Source organism: Homo sapiens, chromosome 8, assembly GCF_000001405.40.
Source record: "Homo sapiens chromosome 8, GRCh38.p14 Primary Assembly".
Classification (NCBI taxonomy): Eukaryota; Metazoa; Chordata; class Mammalia; order Primates; family Hominidae; genus Homo; species Homo sapiens.
Window position 1 is genome coordinate 69,702,393 of NC_000008.11, and position 25,324 is coordinate 69,727,716.

The window sequence follows — 25,324 nt, forward strand, 5'->3', positions numbered from 1 at the left end:
CTCCAGAGCCTGAGTTCTTATTCTATACTGCTTTTTCATTTTTAGAGACTTTATTGTTTGTGCCATCCTATTAGGCACTATCAAGAAGCCACATACCCGGTACACACATCTTACACACACACACACACACACACACCAATGTCTTCTGGTAGAAAAATAACTCCCAGGACAAAAGATGGCACAGTATTCTGTAATCTAAATAAACTCTGATTTGTTATTCCTTCTCCTCACTCCCAAACATTCTAAATTGGCTAGATGAAATCAAAGCTTTTGTTATTCAAATGCAAAGTGGAACATTTTAGAACATAAAACTCCACTGAGAAACAAAAGGAAACAGAAGTGTTTCTTGGCACCAAGCACCAAAACTTGGACAATGAAGCTCTGTTAAATGAGCAGATCCTAACAAAACTACATGTGGTTAAGAAGTAAAGGTTGGCTGGGCACAGTGGCTCATGCCTGTAATCCCAGCACTTTGGGAAGTGGGGGCAGGAGGATCATTTGAGCTCAGGAGTTTGAGACCAGCCTGGGCAACAAAGTAAGACCTCGTCTCTACAAAAAATACAAAAAATTAGCCAGACATGGTGGTGCATGCCTGTAGACTCTCCCTACTTGGGAGGCTGAGGATACAGGATCCCTGGAACCTGGGAGGTTGAGGCTGCAGTGAGCCATGACTGCACCATTGCACTCCAGCCTGGGGGACAGAGAGAGACTCTGTTTCAAAAAAAAAAAAAAGAAAAAAGAAAAAAAGAAAAGAAAAAGAAATAAAAGTTAAGGTTTTCATAACTCTCACAGAAGAGCTTTCCACCTCCTTTTGGTGAGGGTGTGGGGAAAACAGCACTCATATCCATTGCTGGTGAGGTATTGGTACAATACCTGTGGAGGTAATTTGGTACTATTTATTCAATCTCACTTCTGAGAATTTATCCTGCACATACAGAGCACACAAGAGAAGTGATAAATGCCTTGAAGTTATTTATTGCAGCATTGCTTTTAACAACTAAAAATTAACTGGGCACGGTGCCATATGCCCATAATCCCAGCTACTTGGGAGGCTGAGACAGGAGACTCACTTGTGACCGGGAGTTCAAGACCAACCTGGGCAACATAGTGAGACGATGTCTATAAATACATAAATAAATAAATACAATTAAAGATTAGGAACAACCCACTGCCCACCAAATGGGGGCAGGTTAAATACAAAGTGGAATACAATGGAATGCTATGCAGTGGTTAAAGGCAGTGCTTATGGGCACAGACACTGTAGCCAAATTGCCTGAGGTTAAGTCTTGGGTTCTGGACAGTGGTGCACTGGAGGCAGCCACCCTGGATGACAAGATTCTACTGCGAAATTCTAAGGGATTTTGTCAATTGTTTGTTTAACACAACTATTTTTAAAAATTAAATGATATAAACATACAATTAAATGGTATTAAAGACAAGGATAATAAATACGTAAAACTCATCATCTTCTAATTATTTTACTATTATCAATGCTCTTGCCTAGGCTATTTAAGTCTATTCTACCTGTATGATAGAAACATTATACAATGGTGTGTGACTTAGCACCTCCTCCCAATTCGGTGTTCAGGGTCGACAAGTTGGTGACATGAAATCAGCCACAGAGGTGTATTTACATCTCAGAATTGCCAAATGCCACAAATCAGGGCTTTTTTTTACTTTTTACTTTTTGTATAAATGGGTTACCACTATGTTGCGCAGGCTGGTCTTGAACTCCCAGTCTCAAGTTATTCTCCTGCGTCAGCCTCCCCCAAGTGCTGGGGTTACAGGTCTGGGCCACTGCACCAGCCATGAGCCTTTTTTAGAGAGCCATTTAAACATTTGTCAGCAGTCCATTGGTTACATGTGATCAGTACCTCCGTTTTGCTATCTGTAAACTCAGGATGATAACAGCACCTATTTGATAGGTTATTGAGAGGATTCATGGATTAACATATGTAAAGCACTTAAGAGAATGCTCAGCCTGCAATACAGTCATGGTAAGGGGGAGTTATGCTTCAGATTGTTACTACCAGTACTGAAAGATCTCCAAGCTATATTGTTCCATTTTTTAAAAGCTCAGCAAAGCATGTATGAATGCTCTATTTTAGATACAAAAGAGGGACAATTGAAAATACATATCCACAATGTCTTAAATAAAGAAGCCTTGGAAGGATATGCAAAAAAATGAATGAAAGGGGTTACCTGTTTCATCTTTGCTTGCAGGAATGGGAAGAGCTAGGTGGATGGAGGACTTGGGTAAGAGCAAGAGGTTTCACTGTACCTTGTATTTTCATTGAATTTTATGTTTTTGAGCTACAGAAACACATATTCCCTATTAAAACATTATAATAAAAACCAAACAATTTTCATTAATCCAATAAGCATTTCATCCTCATCTGATGTAATTAAAATGCTATGAAAGTCCCTCTGTGGGGTCAGAAGGGGCACAGAGGAAGACGAGACCCTGGCTTCTGCCCTGCAGGAGTGCATGCTCCACTTGGAGAGGCAGAGCACACAGAGCACACACAGGGAGAACAGCTTGGAGGGAGGGGTATGAGGCTGACTGCAGATGCACAAACACCACAGGGCTTTGCACCTCCATCGTGCAGACACGACACGGCTCTTAAGAGGTACTTACCCTGTTGTATAAGGGATGTTTATGCCCCCTAGATTAATGCTTTCACATCCAACAATAAATAGGGTTGAAAAACATAGTAAAGACACACCACTGCAGATCATTGCTAGTTTTGCAGATTCTCTGGCACCAAGTTTCAATTTTTTTATAATGTAGCCTCCGAGGACAATACCAACACCAGCACTGGGGACGATAATAACCCCTGGGGAGAAGAGAAGGAGAGGATTAATTTGAACTCATGTACACTATTATTCATCTTATCTATTCTGTCTCTTGCTCAGTAGTACTGAGGTAAAAAATCAAAAGTTACTATAATCAATACATCTTCATTGTGTGTGATTTTATAGTATAATATTATTTTCAACACATACAATCAACAACGGACTCACATCCAGATTTCAATAAAAACTTTCATAAAGCAATAAAATAAAGACAAGCAATCCATTACAAAAGTGAGTAAAACTTGAATAAGTTCTTCACCAAAGACAAAATCCAGACAAACAATAAACACGTGAAAGGGGGTCAACCTCATTACACAGAAGGAAATACAGGTGATGCACTTAACACATAGAAATGATAAATACTCAGGTGACAGTTACCCTAAATACCCCAATTTGATCATTACACATTCTATGCATGTCACAACATTCCACATGTACCTCATAAATATGTACGAATGTAATGTATAAAATTTTTTTAATTTAAAAACCACAGTGAAATACCACTACCTACCAATCACGTTTGTGAAAATTGTAAAGTCTGAAAATACCACACGTTAAAGATGTAACGTACTGGGAACTCTCAACATGTTGGCAGGATGTAAATCTCAACACTCACTTTGAAAAACAGTTTGGCATTATCTGGTAGAGTTGAAGATATACATGCCCTGTGGCAATCAATTCCATTCTTGGATCTATACCCTGAAGAAACTTGTGCACATGGGTACCAAAAGAAGTGGACAAGATATTTGAAGCATTATAATTGTAAAAAACTGGAAATAAACCAAATGTCCATTAATAAATATATCATATATGGTATGTCTATATAAAGGATTGCTTCTATACACTCATTAAATGGAAAGAAACATAGCTACACACAACTTCGTATGAAGAATTATACAAAGACAATGATGAATGGAAGGAACCACATGCAGCAGAATGCACAAGACATCACTACGTTGGTATGAAGTTCAACAACTTATAAAACTAAACAGCATTGTCTGGGAATGCACAAACAGGTAGTACAACTATGAAGAAAACCCAGGAGTAATTAACATAAAAGCCAAGATAGTAGAGGGATTCATGGTATAAGGAAGGGATGCAGGAGGTTCCTCTGGTGCTGAAAAATACTTCATGCCATGACCTGGGTAATAGTTACTGCTGTGGTCTGAATGTTTGTGTCCCCAAAAGGTTCACATGATGAAATCCTAATCCCCAGAGTGATTAGGAGGTGGGGCCTTTGGAAGGTGATTAAGTCACAAGAGTGGGAGGCCTAATGAATGGGATTCATGCCCTTATAAAAGAGGCCTGAAAGAGCTACCTCACCTTTCCATGTGAAGTTACATGGTGGGAGGTCACATGTGAGAAGACAGCCTTCTATGAGAAATTGGGCCCTCCTTCACCACACGGGGCCAGGGCCTTGTTGTTGGACTTCCCAACCTCCAGAACTGTGAGAAATAAATTTCTGTTGTTTATAATCCACCCAGTCTATGGTAATTTTGTTACAGCCACCTGAATGAACTAAGACAGTTACACAGTGTTAACTTTATAATTATCTTTAAATTATGTTTAATGTACTTCTGGGTATGTTATTTTTCACTGTAAAAAAATAAAGAAATTGGCCAGATGCAGTGGCTCACATCTGTAATCCCAGCACTTTGGGAGGCCGAGGCTGGCGGATCAGTTGAGGTCAGGAGTTCGAGACCAGCCTGGCTAAAATGGCAAAACCATGTCTCTATTAAAAGTTCAAAAATTAGCTAGGGGTGGTGGCGTGCGCCTGTAATCCCAGCTACTCAGGAGACTGAGACAGGAGAATCGCTTGATTGAACCCTAGAGGCAGAGGTTGCAGTAAGCCAAGATCGTGCCGCTGCACTCCAGCCTGGTTGACAGAGTGAGACTCCACACCTCAAAAAAATAAAATAAAGAAATCATCATGGTGCCTGCCCCCAAGAACCTTACAATCTGAAAGAGAAACAAACAACTTAATAGAAATTAGAATACAATAAAATAATTATACAAAGTGCAGGGAGAGAGTCTTCCCTGGATGAAATCTGGGAGGGTTTTACACAAGTGGCAGTATTTGAGGTGAATCTCAATAGATGAGACAGAATCTGCCCAATGGACCAGCACAGAGAATATCCTACACAAAGAAAATGTCTGCACAAAGAAAATACATGCACAGAGGCATGAAATAACGAAATTGAGGATTCAATGCAATCCAAAATATTGATTATGGAAAGGAAGCAGCTGGGAGGTGGAAAGACCTGGAGAAGAGAGGTAGGGAAAACAGAGACCATGAAAGACCATGAAAAGGAGCTCAGGTTGTATTTCTGATAATGGAGGGCGCTGAAGAATTCTGAGCTGCGGCTGACAGGATGGAAGCTGTGTATTACAAAGGTCAATCTTGAAATGACATGCAAGACAGCTTAGATGTGGTCAAAACTCAAGTCAGAGAAGTGGTCAGGAGGATGACCGCAAAGGTCCTTGTGAGCCACAGTAGGGCCCCACAAAGATGGCCCAATAAATTAGATAAGGACAGGGAGAGAGGAAGGATGACTGCATGACACCAGATGAAGGAAGAAATCTGGAACATGAGGAAGAAATGTGTGTGCGGAGCAGCTCAATGGCCCCCATTGTAGACTTGTTGATTGTGAAGGGCCTGAGGAACAATCAGGTGAAATGCCCCACCCAGTTGTGTCTGTGGGCTGCAAGATCAACAAAGAGCTGGCTGGGGGATTTATAGCCAGGAGATGAATTCATGGCATAAATGAGATGTTCCAACAAGACGGTGCAGAGTAAAACAAAAGGGCCAAAACTACAACATTCGGATGAGTGCCAATGTTAATGGGGTATCATAAAAAGGTGAGTCCACAGAACAAGTTGAAAATGAACAGCCACAGAGGCCAGAGGAAATGTGGGAAACAAAAATGTCGGAAGCAGGAAAAACTTGGGCTTTGGATTCAGAAAGACTGGAGTTCAAATCCTCACTCCATCTTTTGTAGCCATGTAATCATGCAGGCTTCCTAAACTTTCTAACTCAGACTTCTTTGCCTCGTCATGGAGATGTCTTCCTTTTACCTTAGCCTTAGAATGAAGATTACAGGCACTATCTATAAGTAGATACAGTATATAGTATTCGGTATATAATATAAATTGTAGTTATTAATTAGCCAGGCAAGATGTTGGGTGCCTGTAATCCCAGCTACTTGGGAAGCTGAGGCAGGAGAATGGCTTGAACCCAGGAGGCAGAAGTTGCAGTGAGCCAAGATGTGCCATTGCACTCCAGACTGGGTAACAAGAGCAAGACACTGTTTCAAAAAAAAAAAAAAATTGTAGTTATTACCATTACAACTGTGCCATAGAAAACCAAGGAGAGAGGACAGGCATGGGGCTCATGCCTGTAATCCCAGCACTTTGGGAGGCCGAGGCGGGCAGATCATTTGAGGTCAGGAGTTCGAGACCAGCCTGATCAACATGGAGAAACCCCGTCACTACTAAAAACACAAAAATCAGTAGGGCTTGGTGGCATATGCCTGTAATCTCAGTTACTCCGGAGACTGAGGCAGGAGAATTATTGCTTGATCCCAAAAGGCAGAGGTTGCAGTGAGCTGAGACTGCATCACTGCACTCCAGCCTGGGTGACAGAGTGAGACTCCATCTCAAAAAAAAAGAAGAAAACCAAGAAACCAAGGAGAGAGTTTCAAGGAGAAAATAGACAACAGTATCAAGTGCCTTAGAGAAGTCCAGTAAGAAAGACTGAAGTGAGACAATGTGTCACTGGACCTCTGACAAGAGCAATTTTAAGAGTGTCATGCAGGTAGAAACCAGACTGCGATGGGTTGAGTAGTCAGTCATGAGTCCCTAGAGTTTGAGAATCCAGTCAGCTCTTTCTAGAACTTTGCATATAAAAGGAAGAAGGGATATGGGTCTAGAATTAGACTGGGAACAAGGCAGGGTTGAGGTTTGGAGGGTTTTATCTGTTTGCTAGGATGCAGAGAGGACTTAAACACATTTATATACTGAGGAAAATAAACTAAAAAGGGAATGAATGGTTGAATGTGGAGGGGAAATTTCAGCTAATGACAATGCAAGATCCTTGAGAAGTCAGGATAACATAGAATTAATAGCACAGATAATCAACTTAGCCCTGAATAGGGGGAGAGAAACTCCTTTCTCTGGGCTAGAACAGAGGATAAATCCGTGGGTGAGTAGTAGCTTTACAATGTTAGTTTTTCTGTTTTATTTTTCCATTATTCTGTAAACATAATGTAATACATATTGTAACAAAACAGTTGAAAAACACAGAAAAGTAGGAAGGAAAACAGAAAAGTAGGAAGGAACAAATATACACTGATTGCATTCTGGCATATTTCATTGCAGACGTTTTTCCTCCGAGAATTCATAACATGCTGTAGATTCATTTTTTATACCTTTGATTTTTGTTGGTTTCTTTTCTGTATAATTGAAAACAAAACCACCTCTTAGAAGGAAGAGATATTGAGAATTTTAATTGTGGCCAAGGGTTGGAAAAACCGTGATGGGAAAGTGAAGTCGGCACTACTAAGAATATGTAATAGAGGGTAATATGGGTCCAGACAATATTGGACACCAGAAGCTTGCAGCTGCATTCACTTGCACGGTTGCATGCTCCGGCATGTTCAACAACCCACAAAGAGAAGCAGAGGAAGACTGAGATTAACTTAAAGTCAGTTTTGCCTGGTAGCTAGTGTTCATCCTGTAATCCTCACCAGAGTCCTGTGAAATCGGCAACAGCTTTTTTTTTTTTTTTTTAGACAGAGTTTCACTCTTGTCGCCCAGGCTAGAGTGCAGTGGTGTGAGCTCGGCTCACAGAAACCTCCGCCTCCCAGGTTCAAGTGATTCCCCTACCTCAGCCTCTCAAGCAGCTAGGATTGCAGGCGCTGGCAACCACGACCGGCTAATTTTTGTATTTTTAGTAGAGATGGCGTTTCACCATATTGCCCAGGCTGTTCTCGAACTCCTGACCTCAGGTGATCCACCCACCTCGTCCTTCCAAAGTGCTGGGATTACAGGAGTGAGCCACCGCGCCCGACCGGCAATGGCCCTTTTACAGATGAGGAGACTGAAGGCTCAGGGAAGTGGCCTGCTCTATAGTGCACAGCACAAAAAGGGAAGTTTGGATAGAAACTGACATTTTCTGTTCCCAGCCCCAAGCTGGGCCCTAATTATCACAGCGACCTCTTACACCCAATAGGTCCCTGGAATCTCACCCAGAGCTCTAGGGTGAGATGAGCTGGAGAATAAAGTACCCTCCTCACCAAGAAAACGTATACATGCTATCAATGTGATTAATTTACCTTTAGAATGAAAACGTTTTATTCATAAAATTTCAATTTCAACTAAGCAATTATGGAGCCGCGGATACTGTACTACAGCCTCAGGATAACAAATCTCCGTGCTGGTAGCTGAGTCATAATTAAACAGCAGCATAATTTATTTGATTATGCATCCTAATTAGCATTAGGCTCTCAAAAATAGAACACGTGTCATCAGTAAATATGAGGGCACACCAAACAGAGTGAAGACCCATGAAAATGTTCTTCGGCGCCCCCATCATCTGTATCTCGCTGCACTATCAAAACAGAAAGGTCTGACCACTCATTTACGCGAATATGGACATTGCTTGGATCTCCGATCAGAGAAAGATCCGAAGTTTGCTTTGGGGAATTATACGCGTCTTGGGACGAGCAGCAGGGATGGGGTCGGACAGTTCAGAGCCTTCATACTGTCCCCCCCACTCAAAGCCCCTGGCTCCAGGTACAGCAGCTCTAGTAGTTCCGGGTGAGCTTATGGAGCGGCTGCGAGTCAGTTTCTCCACCCACCACCACGCGCCATCCAGGCCTCCCCGCCTGCCCACTCCCTATTGGGGGTGGAAAAGATAAATAGAAAAGATGGGTTCTCCCGGCAGAAGTTACGGTCCTGCCGCTAGCCCTCTCTGAGCTCAAATTCACGTCCCTGGCTGGTGCCCTCTTTCCCTTCCCTCTGTCCCCAGGTCCCAAAGAGTCAGCTCGCCGCTCCGTTGCGCCTCTCACCACTGCGCACCTCACCTCTCTGCGCCTCTGCCCCGACCCTGCCGCGTTCCCAGCCTCGGAGGGACCCCCGAGTTCCTGCTCCAGCGCCCTCTAATGGCCAAGACCTGGGGAGCGCAGGAGAAAAGCAGGTGGGGAAAAGGCCATCAATGGATGGATACCCAAGGACACTTCCATATGTTCGGTGGGGAGGGCAAGGGGGGCAGAGCGTGGGAAGATGCACCAAGCCCAGGCACCCGAGGCCCGAGGTGCCAGCCGTAGAGGAGAGAACCCAACGCAATTCCATATGTTCAAGAGGCAGATCCAGGTAAGAGTCTGGGCTATGTAGCCAGATCCCCTAAGTTCAAATCTCAGCTCAGCCACTTACAAGCTGCATGTCTTCAGGCAAATTACTGAACATTTCCAGGCCTCGGATTTTCTCCTCTCTGAAATGTGGATTATAATAGTATATTCTTCATAGGATTGTTAGGATTAAATGAATTAAGACCTGTGAAAGGCTTCGAACAGTGTCTGACCAACAGCATACACTCAATAAATGCTGGCCATCATCATCATCATTTTAACAAGCATGAATTTCATTATCTGCCTAATATTATGAGTTTAAATTTGCACATATATATTGGAATTATAATTAGGCAAATTCCTATATGCTATTTAATCTATAGAATTGAATTTAAGCAATCTATTAGTGGCCCAACATAAACCTCTATGTGTTCTTTAAATATACAAACCTTTGATATTTACTTACTATGTGTTCTTAACACATAAAACTCTTAGATATTTAGCAGCATGTCTTTTATCTGAATCTAAAGAACTCACTGCAACATTAAGTGCTGACAATGCAGAAGATTCTGCTTTGCTCATAAAAGGTCTGGGAATATCCTGCTGCTTTCCAGCTGGAAATCTTTTATCTAGTCATTTATCCAAGCAAATAGACATTAATTGTCCTACTTTCTTTCTTTCTCTGTCAAGCACTATTATGCCACAACATTCGATTTTGACGTTTTTATTCTGGACCCCAATTTTGTGGCTGCATGGAGCCAAAGGGTCTTTATGAAAAATTAATATTTATTTAATTACCAAATATAAAAGCTAATGACTGAATTTTTCCTCTTTCGCTCCAATTTTTGCCAATTTGTATTGTAAATAGACACAGAAAATATACGGGAGCTTAAAGCATGATTTGGAGCACAGGAAAACCTGAACCAAAGGAGAGAACAAAATTAGGCAACCCATTCATTATCAAGAATGTATTATAGGTTCAGGGAGCTTCAATTGTGCTATTGTTGCTATTGTTAAGACAACAACAATGTGCTTTTATGGTACCCAGCGCTAGCCCCTCTCATCACACCTGTCACTCCTATTGTGTTTATTCTCTATCTTTCTGTTATCTTTCTTTAAGGTTCTTGTCTATATTTTCAGTATCCTCCTATTTATTTAGCACTGACCAACGCCTAGTGTGTGTTTGGATGAAAGAACAAACATTCATTTTGAACTTATTATATAAAATCTTATATAACTTTGAATTTATTATATAAAATCTTTAAGTGATTTGCTCATTAATTTCCATTTTCAATTATTCCTGGAACTAGGTTGTATCCCATTTTACAAATAGATAATCTAAGATCTAATTTGAGGTTAAAATAAATTGCTAAAATCAGTTTAAAACTGATAAGCACTAAATATCTAGATGGTGCCTGAAAAATCTCACTTTTACCAAGATTCTGAATTGAACATTATTAGCAAAAGCTTAAACTGCCAAGCCACCAAAGGAAATGCAGAGTACGATATCAGTCTCTGAAACCTCTTATCTGTTGTGAAATTACAGTGGTACAGAATATCCAACCATGGTGACTTAAATTAATAAAGACAGGCTCTTAGAATCTTAGACATTGTCATTTCTTTGCTCTAGTTTCACTGCCCTTTCTGTGTTTTCCATGTCCAAAGTTTTCTTAAGTTCTGTTGAAAATAAATGGCTTGCAAACATGAGACTATCAATAATTAAGGAATATCATTGTAAGCCATCATGACATGTGGATTCTGCTGTTGCCTGGCTGGGCACATGGGACGGACAAGAAAGCAGAATGAGTACCTAGAAAAGAAGAAAGTACCATTTATTCACTCATTCATTCTCTCTCTCTCTCCCTCCCTCCTCCCTTTTTTGTGTGTGTGCAAGTGCACACCCACACACCCACAAACAACTGCATACACACACAGATGTTGATTACATGCCAGGTACTGTGATAACTGATCTAAATACAGTATCTCATTTAATTCTCAAATGTTACAGATTTTTATGCTCTGAACCCAAAGTGTGTCTTACAATCAATAGTATGCAAGCCTTATGTCATAATCTAATTAGAAGCATTTTTCTTTCATAATAACTCAAAATCATGGTGCATCTTGCCAGCAAAAGTGTGACAGATTGGAAGGAATACAGCATTCTCTCCACATCACAGAGGAAGAAACACCTAAAGAGTTCTAGAGCAAGGAAACTGACTCAAGGTTATTTCACTTTTCTAAAGCCTAAGCTTCTAACCCGATGATTCAAAAGACATCTTTTCCTCTTGCTCAGAATAAATAATTTTACCCTTTTGAGCTTCCATTTTCTCTTGCAAACATTTTCTTGTAGGAAATAAGTATCAACTACTGTCAGAAGCAAACTACTAAAAAGATTATTTAAAAAACCCAAACCTTGAAGCTAGCAAATTTTAACTGATCTGAGAAGAGACAGCGCGATAAGTATACATTCTCACAAACTATAAATGACTCCACAAAGTTTAAAAGCACAGTATATCTCTTTCTCTTTCATATATCTCAATCTTACTGTTGTAAAAAATTTCAGCAATCCCTTCATAAACAATGAACAAGATGTATCATTAGAATTAATTTAAGGTACCTTTTTCTTTGAACTCAGTGGCTGTTTAAGGCAGAGAACAAACTTTTTCTCTAAAGCCATAATATTTCACAGCATAGCTTCAAGCCAAAACTTAAAGGAGGGGTAGCAAATCCCTATTTGGACTTAGGATTAGGAAAGGCAGCCTGCATGCGTTGAGCATTTGTTGCAGTCAAAGCTGCCAGTACCTGAAGAAGCCTTTAGGCAGAGTAGAAGAACTTACAGTAAGTTCTTTTAGGAGTTCTCTTGAGGCAGATAAGCTGGGGGGATAGCTCGCCTGGCTCAAAGCTGCTGCACCCCAGCTGTCTCAAGTTTTGCCCCTCTATAACTTCAGTTAGAGGAGACAGAAGTAGACTTCATCAGCCTCAGTTTCCTCTGTCAGGTTCCCCGTGACAATCATAGTGTGGCTCCCATGGGACCACTTACAGCTAACCAAAAGAGAATGTCCTTGAATTTCTAGCGTAGCCTTGCTGAAATTTTTAGTAAAGGCTTTCAAAGGAATTACACACTTCTAAAAACCTTAGCCTCAATGACTTCAACAGGGAGATATTTATATAAAGCCCATATTTAACTCCTCTTAGGCCAGACGGATCTCATTCACTCATAATAACACTTTCTTCAACTCTTTACCAACACAGGGAGACACTGTGCAGTAGGAGAGAAATATGAGAACCCCAATCTCAGGATTCAAGGTCTGGGGATCACTGAAGGAAAGGTAATAAAAAGGAACATTCAACAGTGAAAACAACCATGCTTTTCATTTCAGGTTTCTGTAAAGCTCTGGCTGAAATAATGCATAAAAGAGAATGCTGAGCTGTTTTATGAAAGGGATTCAAAAATCAAATCAAATTAATATTTCATCTTTGATGGCTTACAAACCTAAAAGAATTTTCTGCATCCACGCGATAAACCCACAGAGGGCAAAAACCACTTGAAACGATGAAATGCAAAAATCACAGTATTTACTTCCGTTTTCCCTAGTGCTGGGAAACTGAAGGTGAAAACCGCTAAGCAAACTACTGGAAAGGTGGGTAGGGAGCCTTTGCAGAGGAAATTTCACAGGAGAATAAGAGCACCTTATTAACTTTTTCAGCTATCAAAATAAGCCTCAAACGACGTTGGTATCAATTTTCTGTACTGGGTTTCCATTCATACAAGTAAAGCCCACAGATGTGGCCCATGCCAAGTACAAAACCCTCTTTGGAGGTCCTCTGGGCAAGATCCATTTTCTGTCAGCAACTTTCAACTTCTCCTCTGTCCATTGTTGTCCAAATCCAGCAGTCCTCGGAGCTTTTCCATCGAGACAGTTCATCGTCATGACGCCCACTAATAGCAGAACTGCAAAACCCTGACAAAGCTACCCTTCCCCTAGGAGAAGTAAGCAGATTTTTCAAACTCTGTATATGGAAAAAAAATTGAGACAAAAGTCTGCACATCTGAACTATACCTATTAGAGTGCCCTTGCCCCACTAAGGCCAGGTGGAAATTTTGCTCTTGAGAAACCATATTAATTCTGCCGAGTGAATAGGGAAGACCAGAGCAGACATTTCATAAATATAGTCACATCACTAATTAGACATATTGTGTTTCTTTTTTTTAATTGACAGCTTCTCTGAGCTATAATTCACATACTACACAATTTGCCTACTTAAAGTGTACAGTTTAATGTTTTTAGTATATTCACAGAAACATGCAATCATCACTAAAATTTTAGAACATTTTCATCGCCCTAAAAAGAAACACCACACCCATTAGCTATCACACCCAGCCCTCCCTTGCCCCGCACTGCTCCAGCCCGAGACAATCACCACCTAATTTCTACCTCCATAAGTGTGCCTGTTTGAGACCTTTCATATAAATGGAGTCATACAATATGTGTGCCTGGCTTCTGTCACTTAGTATGTTTTCAAGGTTCCTCTGTGTTAAAGCATGTGTGAGTTCTTCATTCCTATTTATGACCAAATAACATTTCATTGCATTTCTAGATCACATTTTATTAATAATATTTACCCATGCATTGGTGGATGGACATTTGGGTTGTTTCTACTTTTTGGTTATTATGAATAATGCTGCTATGAACATTCATGTACAAGTTTTGTGTGAGCATATGTTTTTGTTTCTCTTGGATACATGCCTAGAAATGGAATTACTGGATCATATGTTAACTCTGTGTTTGAGGAAGTACCAAACTGTTTTCCAAAGTGGCTGCACCATTTCACATTCTCAGCAGCAGTGTAAGGATTCCAATTTCTACACATCTTCACCAACTCTTGTTATTATCACAGATAATAGTTGATTTTAGCCATCTGAGTGTGAGGTGGTACCTCATTGTGGTTTTGATTTGCATATCCGTGATAACTAACAAGGTTGAGCATCTTTCCATGTGCTTATTGTTGGACATTGGTACATCTTTTTTGGAGAAATGTCTACTTAGATACTTTGCCCATTTTAATTGGCTTATTTTTCTTTTTATTATTGAGTTGTAAGAGTTCTTTATGTGTTCTAGATATAACTGCCTTAGCAGATATATGATTTGCAAATATTTTCTCCCATTCTGCAAGCTGTGTTTTTCCTTTTTTTTTTTTTTTAAGACAGGGCCTTGCTCTGTCACCCAGGCTGGAGTACAGTGGCACAGCCATGGCTCACTGTAGTCGCAATCTCCCAGGTCCAAGCAATTCTCCCTCCTCAGCCTCCCAAATAGCTGGGACTACAGGCACACGCCACCACCCCCAGCTAATTTTTGTATTTTTTATGGAGATGAGGTATCCCTGTGTTGCCCAGGCTGCTCTCAAACTCCTGGGCTCAAGCAACCCTCCTGTCTTGGCCTCCCAATGTTGGAATTACAGATATGAGCCACCATGCCTGGCCCATTTTTACTTTTTTGATGGTGTCCTTTGATGAACAATAGTTTTACATTTTGACGAACTCCAACTCATCTATTTTTTCTTTGGTTATGTTGTCTAATACAAGGTCACAAAGAGTTATGCCTATGTTTATTTCTGAGAGTATTATAATTTAAGCTCTTACATTAAGGCTTTCGATTTATTTTCAGTTGCTTTTTGTATGTGGTATGAGGTAGGGGGTCCAACTTCATTCTTTTGCATGCGGCTATTCAGTTGTCCCAGCACCATTTGTTGAAAATACTATTTGTTCCTCATTGAATAGCCTTGGCACTCTTGTCAAAAATCAGTTGACAATAAATATATAAGGTTATTTCTGGGGTCTCTACCCTATTTTACTGATGTTTTTGTCTGCTTTAATCCCACACCACACTGTCTTGATTACTGTTACTTTTCAGTAAGTTTTGAAATTAGGAATTATGAGTCCTCCAACTTTGTTCTTTGTCAAGATTGTTTTGGCTATACTCAGTACCTTACATTTCTATCTGAATTTTAGAAGCAGCTTGCCAATTTTTGCAAAGAAGCCAGTTGGAATTTTGATGAGGATTGTATTGAATCTGCAGATAGATCAATTTAGGAAATATTGACATCCTAATAATATTAAGTCTTCCAATCCATGAACATGCAATGTCTTTTCATTTATTTACATTTTCTTTAATTTTTTAACATTTAATTTTTTAATTGATAAATAAAAACTGTATACATTTATCAGGTACAGCATGTCATTTTGAAATGAGGATACATTGTGGACAGCTACATTGAGCTAATTAAAATATACATAACTTCACATACTTATCTTTTTTGTAGTGAGAACACACAAAATCTACTCTTAATTTTCAGGAATGCACTGCATTGTTATTAACTATAGTCACCATGTTGTACAGTAGATCTTTTGAATTTATTCCTCCTACATAACTGAAATTTTGTGTCTTGTGACCAACATTTTCTTTTACTTTTAAGCAATGTTTTGTGGTTTTCAGAATATAAGTTTTACATTTCTTTTGTTAAATCTGCTCCTAAATAACTCATTCTTTTGATGCTAATGTAAATGAAATTGTTTCCTTAATTTGATTTTTGATTCATTGCTAGTGTATAGAAATACAATAGATTTTTGTATATTGATCTTGTAAGATCTTGCAACCTTGTTGAACATATTTATTAGTTCTAATAGTTTTTATAATTGATTCCTTAAGATTTTCTCCATAGAAGATCACATAATCTGTAAATATAAATAGCTTTACTTCCTCCTTTCCTATCTGAATGCCTTTTATTTCATTTTCTTCCTTAACTTCCCTGGGCATAATCTCCAGTGTAACAAAGAATAAAAGTAGCAAGAGCAGACATCCTTTCCTTGTTCTGATCTTAGGGAGAAACAATCCAGTCTGTCACCATTAAGTATGATGTTAGCTGTGGGTTTTCCATAGATGCCCCTTATCACATTGTGTTTTTAATCTTCAATTACTTAAATGGTAGTTGAGCTAAAATTCATAAATTCATTTTTGGGTTATTGACAAACATGTTTTTTAAAACAACTTTCAGAAAACTTACAAAAATATGTAATTTTTAAAGTATATATTTAATTTAACGGAAAACATTATTGAGCATCCACTCTGTGCCAAGGCCTGTTCTAAACTCTGGAGACATGTAGGGAATAAAAGTAACTAAAATTCCTGCCCAGATTGAGTTTACAATCTAACGTGGGAAACAGACAAACCAATAATTAAGCAAATTGTACAGAATGTTAGAAGGTAAAAAATACTACAGAGAAAAATGCTCAGCGGAGAAAGGAAAATGAGGAGTAGGGAGAGGAGTTCCATTTTTAACTGAGGGATCCTGGATAAAGTCTCATTGACAAGGGGCCATTTGAGCAAAAACCTGAAGGAGCAACGTGAACACAGCATTAGGGGGATTAAATGATACTCCAGTTGTACACTGTCCCCATCTATTCAGTAAAGAAAGTTTACCAGGAGTCCAGGATAATAAAAATCAAAACATTTTGTAACAAGAAGAAACTTCAAAAATTAATCAGTTCACCTTGCTCTCTGAATAAGATAGCTTAAGCCAGAAAAAAATAACCACTTTGGACAAGACAGTGACAGACGGGTTGAAAATCTTAACCAGTATGCTAAATACTGCACTTTTAACCTGAAGATTTTGTTTGTTTGTTTCAAAAGACATGCACAATTCCACCAGATAATGAAATCCACAAAATAAGTTTTACAAGCGCAAACATACTCTAGGAATCTAATGGTCGGAGCATCTGTGGAGAACATCAACCCTACTGTCTATGAGAACTTAGGTTTCAAAAATCCATTAATTAATCAACCTTATAGAAACTAGTCATTGTGAAGTAGGAAGTTAAGAAAATAACAGAATAATAGCATAAGTAATAATAGTAAAGATTAAAGTAATAGTAAGACAAATAACAATAGCTCATAGAATGAATTGCTGTATTAACCAAGGCTAAAAAGAATTTAAGTAGCCCCCCCGAAGTTAAAATTGGAAGAGAATATTAACTGTCTCTCCCAAGAAACATTAACCATATCTACCCTCCTCATATTTTGTAGGCTCTGTAAACTCCTGTTCGTTTCTTCCCTGCACAGCTGCAAGATCACAAGACAGAGACGCATAACCTGCAAACCAAGTTTTCCCAGACATGTAAGACATGTTGCAAAAGTGTCACAGCAGCCTTTGTTCTCGCTTCTGTAAGCCTGCTTCCTGCTTCACGTAGTGCCCGCCTCAAAGTGCTTAAACTCGTTTTATTTGTTCTAGGCTCAGACTCTCAGGACACATGTCCGCTGAGCCGGTGTACACATTAAATAAACACTTTCTTGCACTCCGTTCAGTCTCTCCAATTCCTTAATTTCCCGCAACAATTGGGTAGAAATTACTAGAAAGGAAACAGATGACATGGTTCCTGTGTGCCTACAAAAATTTAAATTTTATTAGACCCATCTCTAAATCTTTCAGCAAATCATCTAATCTTCTCCCCTTATTGCTCAGACCTTATTTATTCTTGGTTTTTAATAACAAAATCACATATTTTCAGATAAAACTTCTCTTTGGAAGACAACAATATAACTTGAAAAGCTATAAGAAGTAAATGCAATAAATATTTAAAATTTAACCCCAAAGATACATGTGAACCAGCAAAGGAAGAAAATACAATGTAGCAAGTGCGAATGTAATGTACCTCCCACTGACAACCACGGGCTTCTTTAATGGCGTGATGGTTCCTGGTTCACCAACGACCCCAGATATTATACTAGGAAGTCTTCACCAGGACCAAAGGTAGCCCTGAATCTTTTCACATTTTTATTTTCACCAAAATGAAGACTATGCAAGGCACATGCCAAATAAAGTGTTAATATTTCTGTACTCAAAGTTGCAGGAGAGTAGCTAACATCTTAGATAATTAGATGGGAACTGAGAGTGGCCATATAAAATCAGGAAGTGGACAGAACAAAAACAGGACAATTTAATAGGCACAACTCAAGTTTCAACCCATTGGAACAAGAGAAAACGTCATGTTTTAGTATTTACTAACATTTTAAAATATATTACTACCTCATGAAATAAAGTGTTTGGGCTTTTTATTTGTTTGTGTGTTATCACAAAATCATAGAATTTGGAAGGGCGCTAGAGCAGAGATTGCTACTTACTCTCCAATGACTACTCTTTTTTTTCCTAAAGCAAGAGTTGACAAGTTTTTCTATTAAGGGCTAGATAGTAAATATTTTCTAATTTGTGAGCCAGACAGTGTCTATTACACTAGTCACCTCTGTTGTTGTAGTGTAATGGACATGTGTAAACAAATGGGTGTGATTGGGTTCCAATAAAGTTTTATTTACAAAAACAGGAAGCAGGCTAACTTTGGCCCAAGATCCCTATTCTAGAGTAACAGCTTGACTTATGGCTGCTTGGAATAGACTACATTTCCCAGCCTCCCTTGCAACTAGGTGTGGCCATGTGGCAAGTCCTGGCCAATGTGATGTAAGCAAAAGTAGTACATCCATGCTCTTCCTCCTTCCTCCTTCCATTTTGCTACTTGAAATGCAGACATAATAACTGGACTGCCACTTTGGACTATGAGGACAGGAGTCTGTGATGGAGAAGAAATTGGAAGCACTGTGGGTGATTACAGTCCCTATACCAGCCCTGAGTTATGTCCAGAATTTTATGTGACAGAGAAATAATGATCTCTTTTGTTCAAGCCTCTGTTCCTTTGAGTCTCTGATATTCTCAAAAAGTATATAATCCTAAATTAACACAAGAGCCCAGAGATCATGTATTTAACTACCTCGTGTTATAGATATAAAATAAAAGTGAGACTCTGGAAAGATGAGTGATTCACCTCGAATCATTGGCTAATTAATGCCAGAGCAAGGCCTAGACTGTTATCTGATTCTAAATCCAATGCTTTTTCTAGATTTATATGAGGCTAGTGCTCCCATAAACATACACTTAAATTACAAATGTTTGTTATTTTCTTTGTGAGATCTTTTCAGTCATTTAAGCCACTTCATTTTTGAAGGAGCAGGTGCTCAGTTTTATTCTAAAAATGAAGAAAAAAATGTTTTTATTTATAGAAACTTACTTCAGGATCATTTCTTTCAAATCCTATTTATTTCAGAAAGGAAGATATTTTAGACTAATTTTCCACCTAAAACAGCAGGAAACTCAAAATTCCTTTCAAAGGGTTTACCCCCTTATTGTCTTCGATCCTGAGGTACACACCAAAAAAATAAGTGCTATGATTAAAAGATGAAATGTATTTATAAGCCAGGCACGATAGCTTATGCCTGTAATCCCAGAACTTTGGGAGGCTGAGGCGGGCAGATCACCTCAGGTCAGGAGTTGAAGACCAGCCTAGCCAACATAGCAAAACCTCATCTGTACTAAAACTACAAAAACTAGCCAGGCATGGTGGCATATACCTATAGTCCCAGCTACTTGGGAGGCTGAGACAGGAGAATCGCCTGAGACCAGGAGGCGGAGGTTGCAGTGAGCTGAGATCTACCACTGCTCTGCAGCCTGGGTGACAGAGCAAAGACTCCGTCTCAAAAAAACAAACAAATAAATAAAATAAAATAATAAATGCGTTTATGTTAGAGTGAGCTGACTTCAACTTTAACCAAGATTACCAACAACAACCTAAACTCATGGAGGGAAATAAGCCCTTATGACTTTTTCAAAGCACATTCACATCAATTATTTAATTGATCAATACAACAGCTCTATAAACAGGTATTATCTCCTTATACAGATAAGAAAACAGACTGAGAAAATGAAATGACAATGTAATAATCATAATAAATATGTGGAGTACTTCAAGTCTTGAAGTACTTACACTTAATATTATTTAATCTTATGGATTATTATTTATTCCCATTTTTTGTATAAGGAAACTAAGATACATGAATGACACACCTTGTCCAAGATCACAAGCGAACAAAACAAAGACAGGACAAAAATCTGATTTCAAAGGCAGAGCTCTTTCAGGTCTGACATGAGAAATCTGTTGCCTAAGTTCCAGGTCCATTGTTCCTTCTAAAACTGAAACCTAGTCTCTTAACTCTTACTCATTTTTTCAGTTAGTTACACTGTCTCCTAAAACAAACTCAGATCTTCAAGACAAAAATGATGAGATTTGTTAACACATGCATGGTGTGTGTGTGTGTGTGTGTGTGTGTGTGTGAATATTTGTGTGTATGCGTGTACGTATTGTGTGTGAATATATACATACATATGTAGGAACATACATACGCATCAATGAATTTGGCTGATACAGAGATGAGGCAGTGACTGACTATTCTTGATGCATAATTTAGCCACAATATATGAGACTATAGTAAATATATATTCTTTGGCAAGTTATTGGCATTTTACGTTTACTCATGTTAGTATAAGACACAACAAAACAAACCTACTGAAGAATCTAGATTTTATGTTGACCACAACATGAAAAGCATAGCACAAGACCATAGCTTTTATTTTCAGCTATATTGAAGTATTTGTAAAGATGTATTTGTTTTGCATAACATTAAAACTATTTTTTATTCTGTCTATAAGGTTATTTTGTTAATAATTTTAATGTTGTGCATGATGAATGTTTGAATACAAATTAAACACATTTCTTTTTTTATTTTATTTATTTTTTTAGACAAGGTCTCACTCTGTCACCGAGGCTGGAGTGCAGTGGTGCGATCTTGGCTTACTGCAACCTCTGCATTTTGGGTTCAAGCAATCCTCCCACCTCAGCCTCCTGAGTAGCTGGGACCACAGGCACAAGCCACCATGCCCACCTAATTTTTTTTTTTATTTTTTGTAGAGATGAGGTCTCACTATGTTGCCCAGGCTCAAACTCCTGGGCTCAAGCCATACTCCAGTCTCGGCCTCCCAAGGTGCTAGGATTACAAACATGAGCCACCATGCCCATCCCAAGTTAACATCTTTCTCAAAATCAAAATTCACTTATCCTTTATATCCCTCAAAAGAAAAAAAATTTGAGGTGAGAGGAAAAGGTTCATACTTTAAAAAATATGAACAGGTTTATTAACTGATAGAAAAGGAAGCCAAGGAGAGTTGTAAAATCTCTTTCCTTGAAGTTTTTCCCCAAGAAATAGGATAGGTGCTCATTCGTTTAACAACAATTTTAGTATGCTTTTTTTTTTTTTTTTGGAGACTGAGTTTTACTCTGTCATCCAGGACAGGGTGCAATGGCGCAATCTCGGCTCACTGCAACCTCCGCCTCCCGGGTTCAAGCGATTCTCCTGTCTCAGCCTTCTGAGTAGCTGAAGCTACAGGTGTGCACCACATATCCAGCTAATTTTTTGTATTTTTAGTAAAAATGGGGTTTCCCCATGTTGGCCAGGCTGGTCTCGAACTCCTGACTTCAGGTGATTTGCCTGCCTCAGCCTTCCAAAGTGCTGGCATTACAGGTGTGAACCACCATGCCGGGCCTAGTATGCTTTTTAGTAACAGCAGTATATGCCAATTGACTAAAAGGATACTACAATATGTAAGCATTCAATTTTTGCATTTAATATATAAATACCTATTCAATTTTTTACATTTTCAAAAGGGTTTGGTATTTATACAGTACCTATTTCAAACAAATTTAAGGAAGATATTGCTAAATAATATCTTCTGAACTACTGAATAATGTATCACTGAATAATAATATCACTGAACTACTCTATATAAAATTAGCATACACAAATTGTCCCTTGCACAGGTAATAAGGGAAGTGTGCACCTACATTTCTAAATAACCACTTTAATCAAAAATCAAACATAAATTATATTCATCTTTATTGCAAATAGAGATAGGAGAAGAATTTCAGTACGATGACTTGAAAAAATTAACTATTAGCCTGAAATCTAATCAGACTAACAGTAACATATCCAAATAAACCCAAGTTCTACCTTCTGGACAATGGAAAGATGCCTCACCAGGAAGCTGAGCCTGGCAGCAAAGCTAATTTGCTGAGGTCCATTGTGAGACGGTTCAGCAAAAGGACATTACTTCCACTTCTAATAATGTCTAAGCACGTTTCATTCTTTAGAAAAAAGAGTAAGGTATTTCCTGCCTTGTGTTAATAACTCTATCCTGGCCATATTTAAGGGCCAGGATATTCATTAGCTCAGGATGTGATCTTTATGAGTAAACAGAAAGCATCTCTGGGGAAATAAGAGGCCGCAGCAGGAGCTGGGAGTCAGAACAGTTTGTCACTAGCCGCAGTGTGCCACTAACTGTGAGGCAATGGATGCTTGAATTCACACCTGTGTCTTTATTAATTATCTACCCTGCCTCTTACTTTTCCCCTTCCCTCATCTCTTTCAATAATAATCCTGGTTCTCCTGTCATTTATATGGAGGATGGTCTATTTGATAAATAGGGAGAAAAGCCAGGGTCATTCTCATTAATAATTAATATTTGTGTTGTTCTTTACACTTAAGTAAATTTTAATTTTTAAAACTTCAAAAACCCTCTAAAATGGATACAGTTATAGCATTTCACAGCCAGTAAAACTGAGGCCAAATTAGTTGACTCACTCAAGGCTACACAGCTTGTAAGGGGCAGAGGCAGATCTTGAACCCAGAACTTCCGATGCCAAAACCCACAACCTTTCTCCTATACCATATTGGTTCAGTACAGAGCAGGTAGGGATCACTCATTTTAGCAGGTATGGGCCTGCTAACATGCCCAGTAAGAAGTTTCTGGGTTCTCAAAGGCAGAAATTTAAACATCGAGCTACCTTATTTCTGTAAAGTACCCCCAGAAAGGCAAAAAGTGAAGCAATTCAACCTCAGTTCCATCTCATGTACCAAGGGAGAAAAAGAATAAAGATGTATGTATGTATGTATGTATGTATGTATGTATACACAGAAGAAATTTTAACTGCCAGGAAAAGGTATAGATCCAAAGTAAAGTGGTAAGATAGTGATTAACTTGAATGCCTGGAAAAAGAAGCTATTCATAAAAATCAGAGGATTTTGTAAGTCGTGGGGGATGGTGGGATGTTTGTTAGTTGCCCTTTAGTGAAACATTGTCTAATTCAAATCCTCATTGTAGAGATGCAAACCCTAAGGGTCAGGAAGAAGAAAGTTTTTATTCATTCCTTCATCAAATCTATTGGGCATATCTTTGTTGATTGAACCAAGGATAAGATGCACTCAGTAGCAGAAACGCTCCTACGTCTGCTTCTGACACTTCCTTGTTTCCTCTGGATTTTCAGTCTTTTTGAAAAGCTCTCTAATCTTTCTCAACCTGACTTCTATTCACAAAAAATCCTGCTCTGTGAACAACATATAATATTTTTTATGACTAAGGCTCTCGAGGGGATCTGGGCTATTCAGAACACCGTGCTGTGAACATAGAGGTGGTAATGTGGAGAGCACCGAGGTGAATGTCCTCAGAGCCCAGAATATATCCACATAAGTAGGTCATGTTTGTCTTTGTTTTTCAGTGTGAGCGTGCACACATGTGCTTGGGAAACAAATCCCAGACATACGGACTGTGCTATTAATCATCAAAGGTAAGTGAAGCAAAAAACATTTTAGTTAATTGAAAGATTTAGTCAACAGACATTTTCCTGCACTGTGCCCAAATATATAAAATTAAAACACTTAAAATTTCTTTTTTCCCACTAAGAGTTGTGAAAAGTAGCCATTTATATTGGAAAAATAAATGCAGAGTAAATAAATCAGAGATATAAACATTTGACCCTGACCCTACACCGATTCAGCTGATACACGTTTAAAGCAATTGTATTTTTATCATTGATATTATATCTCCTAGCCTCCTTCAGTTCAGATGAGATTATTCCTCAGCCTTTCACTTCAGTATCAAGTCTCTTGCTTTCTCTTTCATTTTCCTACCTCCTTTTTTTTTTTTTTTTTTGGGGGGACAGAGTCTCACTCTGTTGCCCAGGCTGGAGTGCAGTGGTGCGATCTCGGCTCACTGCAACCTCTGTCTTTTGTGTACAAGCGATCCTCCCACCTCAGCCTCCTGAGTAGCTGGGATTACAGGCGTGTGCCACCATGCCCAGCTAACTTTTATACTTTTAGTAGAGAATGGGGTTTTGTCATGTTGGTCAGGCTGGTCTCGAACTCCTGGCCACAAGTGATCTGCCCGCCTTGGCCTCCCAAAGTGCTGGGATTACATGCATGAGCCACCATGCCCGGCCTCTACCTCCTATTAGCCATAATTTTTCTTCTTCCTCTTAAAATCCATTCCCTCCAGATAATCTTTCTTATGAATGTTTTCCACATGTCATAAGTCCTGCATTTACTCTTCTGCCTTAGATTCCTCTTCCTGGAAGATCTCATTTATTACTAATAAATGTGCAATACATTTATTACTAATAGCTACTTTCCAGGCACTGTGTGAAGCCCACAACATACTTTATCTCATTTAATCCTCAGAGCCTTTGCTACCCATAGAGGTTAATGAGTTGGTCCAGGGTCACAGGCAGCCTACAAGGTTCACTAGACTGTGAGGCCTTGAAGGTGGGACCCCTCCGTGTTCTCATATGGCTTCCCTGTGCATAGTGCCAGGCCCATAGCAAAAGCTTTATAAATAGTTGTGCATGGATGGGTGGGTGGGTGAGTGGATAGATGGATGAATGGGCGAAGGGATGGCTGGATGGATGGGTGGATGAAAAAACAGAGTAAGAATTTCAACAAGATCTGTCTCCTAAACTGACCCTTTTAACTTGTATGCTATATGTCTTACCTAGTACATGAAAGTTGGAGAAGAAAAAATTGACACAATAAAAATTCCAAATTGTAAGCAGCTTCTCTGAGTTACAGATTATACAGTTACATATTATACAGTTCAATCTGTATAATATGGACCTATAATGGATTGTGAGGTGTGTTCTTGCAAAAACTGCTCTGCCTGCCTCATTTTCATCAACTCTTCACTGGAGAGAGGACTCCCTCCCACTGCAGTACTGTGGTGAAGACTGCAAAGCATGCATGGAAGGCACCTCGCTAATGCCATGCCTGGCTCAGAGTGGAAGCCTAATAAAGTTCACCGGTTTTCACCATCATAGCACAGGCTCCACTGAAGGAAAGATGTCAATTTGCTTTGGATTCCCA

General features: G+C 39.1%; 1 protein-coding gene and 1 long non-coding RNA gene across 4 annotated transcripts in view, besides 1 other annotated feature; one reads left to right on the forward strand and one right to left on the reverse strand.

Annotated features, from left to right (window-relative positions):
• SLCO5A1 (solute carrier organic anion transporter family member 5A1) overlaps nt 1-25,324 on the reverse strand; it is a 167,933-nt gene that overhangs the window by 35,347 nt on the left and 107,262 nt on the right. For all 3 annotated transcript variants that reach the window (NM_030958.3, NM_001146008.2, NM_001146009.1), the window contains one exon: nt 2,639-2,837. In NM_030958.3, coding sequence (NP_112220.2) covers nt 2,639-2,837 — 199 coding nt within the window. The remainder of the gene's footprint in view (nt 1-2,638; nt 2,838-25,324) is intronic.
• Nucleotides 8,758-9,258: an enhancer, noted in NCBI's record as "H3K4me1 hESC enhancer chr8:70623385-70623885 (GRCh37/hg19 assembly coordinates)". NCBI's record gives its function as "activates a minimal SCP1, AML or CMV promoter by ChIP-STARR-seq in naive H9 embryonic stem cells {active_cell/tissue: H9 hESC(naive)}" and the evidence as "EXISTENCE:reporter gene assay evidence [ECO:0000049][PMID:30033119]".
• LOC105375889 (uncharacterized) lies at nt 9,144-17,373 on the forward strand. The gene is made up of 3 exons (XR_929026.3): nt 9,144-9,228; nt 12,456-12,532; nt 17,285-17,373. It is a non-coding gene; the product is annotated as an uncharacterized LOC105375889 (long non-coding RNA).